This window comes from Homo sapiens, chromosome 1 (genome assembly GCF_000001405.40).
Source record: "Homo sapiens chromosome 1, GRCh38.p14 Primary Assembly".
Lineage (NCBI taxonomy): Eukaryota > Metazoa > Chordata > Mammalia > Primates > Hominidae > Homo > Homo sapiens.
Window position 1 is genome coordinate 204,536,425 of NC_000001.11, and position 11,387 is coordinate 204,547,811.

General features: G+C 39.7%; 1 protein-coding gene across 16 annotated transcripts in view; it reads left to right on the top strand.

Moving 5' to 3' along the window:
- The window catches only part of MDM4 (MDM4 regulator of p53), a 41,715-nt gene that overhangs the window by 20,019 nt on the left and 10,309 nt on the right, over positions 1-11,387 (top strand). For 4 of the 16 annotated variants that reach the window (XM_024447114.2, NM_002393.5, XM_024447115.2 and 1 more), the window contains exons 6-10: positions 1,006-1,073; positions 1,785-1,884; positions 6,360-6,520; positions 8,111-8,260; positions 10,373-10,453. The exons of 1 other annotated variant lie outside the window; for it this stretch is intronic. In XM_024447114.2, the coding sequence (XP_024302882.1) occupies positions 1,006-1,073; positions 1,785-1,884; positions 6,360-6,520; positions 8,111-8,260; positions 10,373-10,453 (560 nt within the window). Of the gene's footprint in view, positions 1-1,005; positions 1,074-1,784; positions 1,885-6,359; positions 6,521-8,110; positions 8,261-10,372; positions 10,454-11,387 lie in introns of those variants that run through there. 11 more of the 16 variants (XM_047420951.1, NM_001204171.2, XM_017001313.2 and 8 more) reach the window with 7 other exon arrangements.

An 11,387-nucleotide genomic window follows, 5' to 3' on the forward strand; every position in this document is an offset into this window, starting at 1 on the left:
TTCAATAGAACCGCATTGACAGATCAGTTGTAGGATCTGTATCCTTCCTCTAGCAGCCTTTATCAGATGGTGATGATATTTTCCATATTTTATCTCTGAACCTGGTAGTGGTTGGTGAACCTGACCCACAGTAGACTTATTTTGGGTCTATCTCATTCACATAGCCTCAAATAATGAATAGTCCAGATTATTAAATTGTTTGCAGCTTGATCTTTTCGTGTAGCCAAGTTTTTGTCTTTTGTTCTACTTGAAAAATTTCTTTGTAAGTCCTTGGAATGCATTTCTCTTTTAGATTAATGTAATATCTAAGAATTTCTCTGTACTGTGTTGTTTTCCTTGGTTCTTTTTATTGGCCTTGAGAAAAACTTTATTTGCTGCTGCTTCTTAGGAAATGTTTATAGTAACTGGGAAAAATAAGACAATGAAAAAAATTAATTTATATACAGGTGATGGTAATGGGAATTTAAACCATAAAATTATCCTTGACACTTAGAATGTCGCTTTAGATGAAGATGCTATTGTTTTATGAAGCAAACGGGGAAAAATCCAGATTTCAAGATCCCATAACCCTGTATGACTTAACACTTGAAAGTTGAAATTAAATGTAAAAAGCCATACACTCTTTTCCTTTTGTTTGTGAGTTAGGCGAATTTGGTAATATATAGGAAGAGATGACAAAAATAGACTCCATTATGTCCTGCTTGGAACCAGTTTTCATATAAAAATTTAAAAGCTTGATATGGAAGAACATTTTTAGCTATTTTTCACTGTTTTTTTTCCCGATTATATTTTGGTAATATATTTTGGATATGGCCTGTCTTGGTCTTTGTCATTTTTATCAATTTTGATTTTTCCCTTGCAAATGAGAGCTTTGTCCAGCCAACATGGAGAAGTACATTTCTAGGGACTAAACCTGGCTCCCGGGTTGTTTGCTGAGGTCCTTTTTGTGTGGAAAGAATGGTTATTACCAGGGAAGGTTTTCCTTTTGTTTTACTTGCTATCCAGATGCTGCTCAGACTCTCGCTCTCGCACAGGATCACAGTATGGATATTCCAAGTCAAGACCAACTGAAGGTAAAATCACCACACGGTGACTTCTTTTGTTGTACAGAGTGGCCCCTTCTCTGTACCTATGGATCTTGGACTCCCAAGACCTTTCCCTGAATGTGGTAAGAATTTAATAAGAAAGGTTCTTGGGAGTTCACAGACCAGGGACAGAGTGAACCTTCTCTGTTCTGCCCATAACAGAGTTCCAGTCTCTGAACCTTTCTTTGGGATGTAGCACTTCTGATCTTCAGTTCTTCCAGTTGCATTTTTCTTTGGGTTTGTGTGTACCTGTGTGTGTGTGTTTGAGGATATTGCTTTATTAGATTTTAATAGGCGTGTTGCAGTTAAGTTCATGTCAGGCCATTTCCTAAAGCTTCCCCAAACCTGGGGAAACTTTATAGTCATCTTGGTACGTGGCGAGGGTTTCATATGTTTTCTGAATTATGCCTAATTTTGTAGTAGACTGGAGGGTTTATACAGATAGCCTGTTTTTAACAGTAGATTTTGGCCTTTGTGCAGAGGTTTTTTTTCCCCCCAGGTTTGGGATTCTTCTAGCTTTGCTCACAGTGGGTTGAGGAGAGGTGTTGCCTTTATTTGATGACTGTTGTGAACTTGAGTTCTCTTTCTTGTGTGTAACCCATTGTGTTGCACACTAACTGGTGAGCCAGAATGGAACTGCTACATCCCCTGGTCTCAGTTATTTCTACTGCACTGATGGACACCTTTCCCTTCTTTCAGCAAAGTGCAGAGGAAAGTTCCACTTCCAGAAAAAGAACTACAGAAGACGATATCCCCACACTGCCTACCTCAGAGCATAAATGCATACATTCTAGAGAAGGTATGTTTTGGATTAAGGCTATATAGACTTTTGTTCTCTTCCTCTTCCAACCTTTTTATTTTTAATCTCTCCGTATGTGAAGTAGGAGAGGGATATGTCACAATTTCTCATCCTTTTCTGAAAACCTTTTTATCAGCCTAGTTACTACCATTGTTAGCTTTGAAGAGGTAGTGCTATTTTAGCAACCCGTGAGTACTAGGATGGTGCAAGACCCTTCCATGAGCTAGCATGCTACTAGAAAATAGCTACACATTTATTGATTTGCTACCAGGTGAATTTTCTACATACATGAATTCAGCTGCCTTAGACTTTTCAATCTTAGTATTCTTGTATGTATATGATTTGGTTAGAATTTTTATTTTGATTTATCTACTTGAGGCAAAGGCCAATTTTCATACTTTTTTTTTTTTTTTTGGAGTCAGAGTTTCCCTGGGTCACCCAGGTTGGAGTGCAGCAGTGCGATCTCAGCTCACTGCGACCTCCACCTCCTTGGTTCAAGTGATTCTTGTGCCTCAGCCTCCTGAGTAGCTGAGATTACAGGTGTGTGCCACCACGCCTGGCTTTTTTTTTTTTTTTTTTGAGACGGAGTCTCATTCTTGTTACCTGGGCTGAGTGCAATGGTGTGATCTCAGCTCACCGCAGCCTCCGCCTCCCAGGTTCAAGCCATTCTCCTGCCTCAGCCTCTGGAGTAGCTGGGATTACAGGCGCACGCCACCACACCCGGCTAATTTTGTATTTTTAGTAGAGATGGGGTTTCCCCACGTTGGTTAGGCTGGTCTCCAACTCCCGACCTCAGGTGATCTGCCTACCTTGGCCTCCCAAAGTGCTGGGATTACAGGTGCATGCCACTACGCCTGGCTAATTTTGGGGTTTTGCCATGTTGGCCAGGCTGGTCTCGAACTACTGGCCTCAAATGGTCTACCCGCCTCAGCCTCCTAAAGTGCTGGGATTACAGGCGTGAGCCACTGCACCTGGCCCAATTTTTACACATTTTGAAGTTTGCAAAGATGACATAATATACTTAATCACAAAGCCAAGAATGAGATATAAGAAGCCTGGTATAAGTTGAGCACTCTAAATTTGAAATGTTGAGCATTCTCAATTTGAAAGATTGTAATGCTCTTTTAGCAACTCATGAGTACTAGGATGGTGCAAGACCCTTTCAAAGGATCTTAGAATAAGTTGAGCATCCAAAATCTGAAAACTTGTTTTTTTTTTTTGTTTTGTTTTGTTTTTTTTTTTTTGAGACAGGGTCTTGCTCTGTCACCAGGCTGGAGTGCAGTGGCACAGTCTCAGCTCACTGCAACAACCTCCACCTCCCGTGTTCAAGCGATTCTCCTGCCTCAGCCTCCTAAGTAGCTGGGATTACAGGCGTGCACCACTACGCCCAGCTAATTTTTGTATTCTTAGTAGAGACGGGGTTTTACCATGTTGACCAGGATGGGTTGATGTCATGACCTCGTGATCCACCCGCCTTGGCCTCCCAAAGTGCTGGGATTATAGGCATGAGCCACCACACCCAGCCTCTGAAAACTTTTTCACATGACACCACAAGTAGAAAATTTAACACCTGACCTCATATGACAGGTTGCAGTGAAAACTTAGTTTCATGCACGGAATTATTTAAAATATTACAAAAAACTGTCTTCAGGCTATGTGTACAAGGTGTACATGAAAACTTGGGTCCCATTAGCCGGGCGCGGTGGCTCACGCCTGTAATCCCAGCACTTTGGGAGGCTGAGGTGGGCGGATCACGAGGTCAGGAGATTGAGACCATCCTGGCCAACACGGTGAAATCCTGTCTCTACTTAAAAAAAATACAAAAAATTAGCTGGGTGTGGTGGCGGGCGCCCGTAGTCCCAGCTACCCGGGAGGCTGAGGCAGGAGAATTGCGTGAACCCAGGAGGTGGAGCTAGCAGTGAGCCGAGATTGTGCCACTGCACTCCAGCCTGGGCGACAGAGCGAGACTCTGTCTCAAAAAAAAAACAAAAGGGAAACTTGGGTCCCATCCCCAGGATATCTCATTATGTATATGCAAATATTCCAAATCCAGAAAAATTGTTTTTGCCCTTGGATGGTAGTCACCAGATCTTTGCCATTCCATTAGATATGTTGTGGTCAGGCTAATGAGTTCATCCATATTTTCCCCAAAACTCTAAAAAACACTTTCTAGGCTGGGCATGGTGGCTCATGCTTGTAATCCTAGCACTTTGGGAGGCTGAGGCAGGCGGATCACCTGAGGTCAGGAGTTCGAGACCAGCCTGGTCAACATGGTGAAACACTGTCTATATTAAAAATACAAAAATTAGCCGGACATGGTGGCAGGCGCCTGTAATCCCAGCTACTCGGGAGGCTGAGGCAGGATAATTGCTTGAACCCGGGAGGCAGAGGTTGCAGTGAGCCGAGATCGCGCCATTGCCCTCCAGCCTGGGGGACAAGAGCAAGACTTTGTCTCAAAAAACAAACAAAAAAAACACTTTCTAAAATTAGTTTTTTGTTTCTGTTTTTGTGTTGGCGAAGATGTGTAAAATCATAAATTCCCCAAAGTCATTTTATGGCATGATGGCTTCTAGTCTAGGCATGTGGACCAATGGCAGGTTAAGCCTCTAGTTATGTCTGAGAAACTTTGGCTGCTGAAGTTATTTTAAAAGCTTAAATTTGAATAAGTTTATCATGCTGGATTGTTTTCTTTACATTGCATTTGAGCATAAACTGAATTTTGGTCTACCTAGTTACTTTGTAACTATTCCAGTCTATATGATATTAAATGTGTAATTTTATTCCTTAATGCAAATCCTTGCTTATTTTGTACTCAAAAGGCAATTTTAAGATATATAAGAACATGGCTGGGCACTGTTAGAAAATCAAGGCTGGGCATGGTAGCTCGTGCCTGTAATCCCAGCACTTTGGGAGGCTGAGGCAGGGGCATTACTTGAGCTCAAGAGTTCGAGACCAGCTTGGGTAACATAGCGAGACCTCGTCTCTACAAAAAATCAGCCCAGTAGAAAATTAGCTGGGCATGATGGTGCGCACCAGTCGTCCCAGCTACTCAGGAGGCTGAGATGGAAGGATCACTTGAGCCCAAGAGGTGGAGATTGCAGTGAGCGGAGGTTGCAGTGAATCAATATCATGTCACTGCACTCCAGCCTGGGCAACAAAGTGGTGCCCTGTCTCAAAAAAAAGTTGGGGGCAAGGGCAGGTATTTAAGAATAGCCAACTCAAGGGGGGATATGTAGTTTGTGATGAAAATTTGGGAATAAATAATAGTATTTTCAGGAAGACCTATAGGTAGAAGGGACAGAATTTTTATTTGTGGAAAGAATGACCTATTTTCATTTCCTTCATAAGTTGTAGAGCTCGAGTAGGGAAGAATAACTTTAATATGGCACCATTTCAAGAATTTGGCTTCTGATAGTTTCAATAATGAATAAGTGGAAACATAATTGAAGTTTCCCTGGCCACAGATAAGCCTTTTAGTCAGCAATATTGACATAATTTATAAGTAAATAGGGTAACCTTATGTTCTGGCAAGGACCCATGTATTGCAGAAATTCTTTCACCATATGTACTTCAGCACACGTTAACCCCATGGTTGCTATGGGCAGGCCTAATGTATTGGGAGGAGGTAGAAGAGAATGAGAAAGTAAGAAAGGAGCAGTAGAGCCCAACAAAAGACTGGAGTATGGGAAAGAAAAGAGTATCATGTGATAACAACAGACTTATGTTAATTAGCTGCCCTCAGTGTCATTCAAATGTACAATGTGAGATCTTTTACTTGAAATAACGTGGGGTCTTAGTATTTGTGGTATGTCTAGATACTTAACTCTAAGAGCCCATTGATCCAGCGAGGGCATATGTATGTATTTGGACAACCTAGAGTTTAGTGTTTTATAGTGGTTGTTACCTACTAAAACATACGAATTATTGAGAATTGACCCAGAATATGTGGTACCAGTGAGATTGCCTGGACAACCTTGTGATCACCTATTATGGTTTGTATTGCCTTGCTTTGATCTTAAGGGTTAGACCACTATGTTACCATCATTTGCAATGCTGTTAATCAAACTATTATCAGGCACTATGTACTAGAGCAAGTAATTCTATAGTTTATACATGGTAGGAGTGTTTAAAATACCAGTAAATGCCCATTTAGAAATTCTTTTAGCACAAGGTCATTGTTCAGATGCTTTTAGAGTCTTTTTTTTTTCCTGTCTTCTCATAGAAGACAATGCTTTTAGAGTTTAAACTTGATAAACGATGATCTGTTTGTAGTGTCATTACTTGCTAATGAAGTCTAAACAAGGGAGGAGATTTGAGCTCTGCCACTAAGACAGATACTTGATTTCTGGTTCTTTCTTTCTTAGAACAGGAATTTCTTTTTACCTATTTTATAAAGAAGTTTTAAGTATTCTAAAGATAGTCTTAGTTATTACGTATTGTGCATAGTTATCATTCTTTTCATTTGACTTCTATAGATGAAGACTTAATTGAAAATTTAGCCCAAGATGAAACATCTAGGCTGGACCTTGGATTTGAGGAGTGGGATGTAGCTGGCCTGCCTTGGTGGTTTTTAGGAAACTTGAGAAGCAACTATACACCTAGAAGTAATGGCTCAACTGATTTACAGACAAATCAGGTAAATTTCACATTTGAAGGGAAGTGGTTTTTTTTCTTTTGAAAGGGTAACATTCTTGGTTACTCTTGACCACACATTATATTCTCTAAGAATTCTTATTTACTCCTATGGCGTTAAATACCATCTGTATGCATGTGATACCCAAATCTGTATCTCTAGTCCTTACCTCTTCCCTAAATGCCCAACTTCAGTTTCCAGATGCCTATTTAACTAACAACTCTACTTAGAGGATTTGACATTGAACAATTTCAAAATGGAGCCTTTGGCTGTGCGTAGTGGCTCATGCCTGTAATCTCTGGGAGTCCCAGCCTATAACACTGGGAGGCCGAGACAGGAGGATTGCTTGAGCCCAGGAGTTTGAGACCAGCCTAGGCAACATAGACACCATTTTTACAAAAAATTAAAAATTAGCCAGGCGTGGTGGCGTGCGCCTGTTTTACTATAGTAATAACTGATTCAGCCCCCTCCTTCCTCACTTCCTGTCATTCTTCTTTGTTCACTACATGCGTTTTGGATATACTAGGCTCCTTTCTGACACTGTAGCCCAAAATTGCTGCCTTCCTCAGGCACCTTAAGTTTGTTCTTTACTCTTTCTGGAACACTGTTCCCCCACATTCTTTCTTTGCCTTCTCATGATTTAGGACTCACCTCAAATGTAATTTCTTCAAAGAGGTCATCCCTGGCCACAAAGGCTATTATGTTACACAGTTCCAGTAGGATCCATTCGCTTTTTGTTTTGGAGCTGTGTAGCTATAGGTGGTGGCCCTGCCAAACCCATCCCTAGTTAAAATAGCCTCCTCTCTAGCCACTCTTCTCTTTTATCCTATTTTATTCTCCATAGTACTTCTCACTTTGTAAAAATATTGCTATATTTTATGTATGTGTTGTCTGTTTACCACTGAAATGTAAGGCCAGGGCTTTTGTATTATTCACTACTTTTTCCATTACCTGGTACCTAGAACAGTATGTGGCACATAATAGGTATTCAGTGAGTATTTGTTTAATAAATGGATGAGTATTTAATAGTGTGCAAAATAATAAATTGTCTCTCATGAATGTTGTAGAAAAGCATGTCATGAAATATTCATAGATGAATGCAGAAGGTTAGTTCTATATGGAGTTCAGAAAGTGTCAGGACAAAAGGTTTGGGTGACCATCAGTATTTCTCATATTTCTTTAATAAACATCCTTGACCATTTTAAGGGAAAGAATATGTCAGAACTAATGGAATGTTTTGTAGCTTCTTAGAGTGTCACCTGTAGAAGGGAATTTAGGGAATAGATTCTATTTACTTGAGCAACTACAAGTCCTTACCTTTTAAACTCTTCAGTACTGTTTCTTAGGTGTTATACCTGATTTAGTGTTAAAAGAGAAAAGTCCATGCCTGACACCATTATATCCATCCATTAGTTTATCCACAGTAGGTGTCAAGTAGATATATGTTGAATGAATACATGTCCACTGAATAAAGGCAAGATGTTCTTTGGCGATGTAGTGTGACGACATTGAGTTTTGGGTTCATTTGTGTTGTTTCAACATCTCTGATAAACCTCTGAATACAGAAACTCATGTTTGTTTTTTTTCTGTTAGGATGTGGGTACTGCCATTGTTTCAGATACTACAGATGACTTGTGGTTTTTGAATGAGTCAGTATCAGAGCAGTTAGGTGTTGGAATAAAAGTTGAAGCTGCTGATACTGAACAAACAAGTGAAGAAGTAGGGAAAGTAAGTGACAAAAAGGTATGTTGTGGAAAAATTCCATGTTGATTCTGTTTGTGTGCTCATAGTATCATCTGTTGAGATTTCTTTGTATCTGTTTTTACAACAGATTGCTCACATAATCCCCTTTTTAACTTTAATTAATTTTTCAATCCAATTTTAAGATTCACATTAAGTAATGTTAACCAGGGCTGCCTTAAAAGCCCCTACTTAGTCAAAAGCAGTAAGCTACTCTTTTTTCCCCTGATTATAGCAACAAGCTACCTTTTCTCTCCCTTTGCTAACAAGGTAAGGTGCTAATCAAGCTTGTCCAACCCACAGCCTGTGGACCACATGCGGCCCAGAACAACTTTGAATCAACACAAATTCATAAACTTTTAAAAAACATTATGAGTTTTCTTGCGATTTTTTTTCTCCTTTTAGCTCATCAGTTATCATTAGTGTTAGTGTATTTTATGTGTGGCCCAAGACAATTCTTCCAGTGTGACCCAGGGAAGCCAAAAGGTTGGACACCCCTGTTGTAAATGAACAGCAGTCTGTAGGAGAAAACTTATTTCTTGGAAATCTTGATAGCTTCCATAACCATGTTGTACCTAAATGGAAAGATAAGATTATTTCTTTGTAGCTATTTTAGTGTTAAAATAGTAGAAAAGAGGGGAGATTGAACTCTGAGTACATACATATGGTATGTACTCATGAAGTACTCATGTGTATGGTATGTACTCATGTACAGATGAAGAGTCATACAGGCAACTTGCTCAAGACTCAGAAGAAATTGGGGAGGAGATCCAGTGGCCAGCATGTAGAAGAGTGTTGGTAAACATCCATCGGATAAATACAGCAAAGAAAAAATTGGGTCATCCTTTTTAGTTATTTAAGGGATTTTCATAAGAATTTTGAGTTCCTGAAGGATACCCTAGTATATTCGTTGTAGTCAAATGGTACCTGGGTTCTCTTAGACTAGTTATATGGGTAGCATTAGAAGGAATGCAGGTGGCTTGAATTAAGACAAAAGTGACATTTGGAAACTTTTATTTATTTATTTTTGAGATGGGATCTCACTGTTTTGCCCAACCTGGTCTTAAACTTCTTAGCTCAAGTGGTCCTTCCACTTCAGCCTCCCAAGTAGCTGGGGTCACAGGCATGTGCAGCCATACCTGGCCTAGGAAACGTCTATAGAGAGAGATGGGACTTAAAATACTTGGCCATTTGTGAGAAGGTTGCTGTACAGAGGTTCATAATTGTTTCATAATTGGTTTTATTCTTTTTATTGGACCACAAAACTAGGGCTTTAAATTTTTAAATTCTAAATTTTAAAATTTAGAACACTCCTTACTTTTGAAACGGACTTTTTTTGTTTGTTTCTGTTTCTGTGGGCATGTTTTTATAGGACAGCCAGAGTATCACATAACTAGTTTCACTTTTGAAAGTGAAAAGTAAATTTTTAAGATACTTTGTTTCATTCTTCCTGTCTGCTTAGATAAAAAATTGCACGTTTAACAATTTGGAGCTTTTCTACTCTGAAATTATTTATTTATTTATTTTTAAATTGTTTTAGAGACAAGCTCTTATTCTGTCACCCAGGCTGGAGTGCAGTGGTGAGATCATAGCTTACTGCAAGCCGGAACTCTTGGGCTCAAGCGATTCTCTTGTCTCAGCCCCCAAGTAACTGGGACTACAGGCGTGCACCACCACACCTGGCTAATTTTTTTTATTTTTTGCAGAGACAGGGTCTTGCTCTGTTGCCTAGGCCAGTTTCAAACTCCTGGGCTCAAGGTATCCTCCTGCCTTGGCCTCCCAAAGTGCTGAAATTATAGGCACCTGGCTGTAAAATAGCCACCATGCCCAGCTATTTTCTTTAAAGTCATAAATATGGGCATCTTCTCTCTTCTGAATGCAAAATTTATTTGGTAACTCTTCTGGGTGCTTTTCTGTCGTTTGTGCTACTACTGAAATGCCAACTAGAAGTACAGAATCATGTGTTTGGTCTTGCATTTAAGCTGTCTCCTTAAGTGCTAGAGATGGGAGAAGAATGTGAGTTTTAAATTGAAGCAGTTGTCTTTTTTGCTTTCAGTTAATTAGCCTCATCTAAAACAAGTAAACATTACTAATGAGATGTTTTTGCCTTCACAGGTGATTGAAGTGGGAAAAAATGATGACCTGGAGGACTCTAAGTCCTTAAGTGATGATACCGATGTAGAGGTTACCTCTGAGGTATGAATCTTTAGCAAGAACTATTTTGCACCAGCCCCATCTTCAGATGATGTAATCCCAGCAGTTCACTTGTGTTGAAGAGTGCTGTTTACCCCTCATTTCTGTCTCCCTTGCCTAGTTGCTAAGTGATGTTGGTTTCTTTACATTTTTTTAAGAGATTTTTATTGGAACTTAAGAAGGGAAGGGGATAATTTGATCTTATCCTCTCCCTACCTTGAAAAGGATGAGATAAATGCCTCTGTGTGCCTTTCTCCCTGCCATCAAATCTCTCTGGAGACACAAAGTTATTCAAAATAGTCTTGCACTGCTTTCCCTGACTCAACACCTCTCTGCAATCCCAAAGACAGACCCATAGGCTATCTAAAATTATTTGTTGAATATAAAAATAATATTGTCATTGTTTTCTTAAAAAGAAGCAAATGGAAAACAGCTTAATTTCCACACAGATTAGTATTAATGGAGGACTATTAAAGAAGACTTGATATTCCACTCTTAGGTTAATAGGGATGGATTTGTCACTAGTTGACAACTCAAGTCTAGACCCAAATGTATACCTTGCTTTTTTGTTGCTATTTCCCCATGTTTCTTTTAGTCTTGCCACAGGTAACACACTATGGGAAAAAGGTTGGTGGAGGAAGGATAAGAAGGGGATTTTACATTTTGCTGCTTGGAAAGAGAAACATTTTTAGGTTGTTTCTGGTGTTGATCCTTCCCCCATTCCCACCACACCACTGTTGAGCATTATGGTAGTTCATTGCCAATGATCTGTGTGTAGCTTAGTAATAAAGTAAAATATATTGGTCCAGTAAGTGTTCTTGACTGTAATACAAATAACAGAGATAAATGTTTCCATCTGTTTTTTTGAGATGGAGTTTCACTCTTGTTGCCAAGGTTGGAATGCAATGGCATAATCTCGGCTCACTGCAACTTCCGC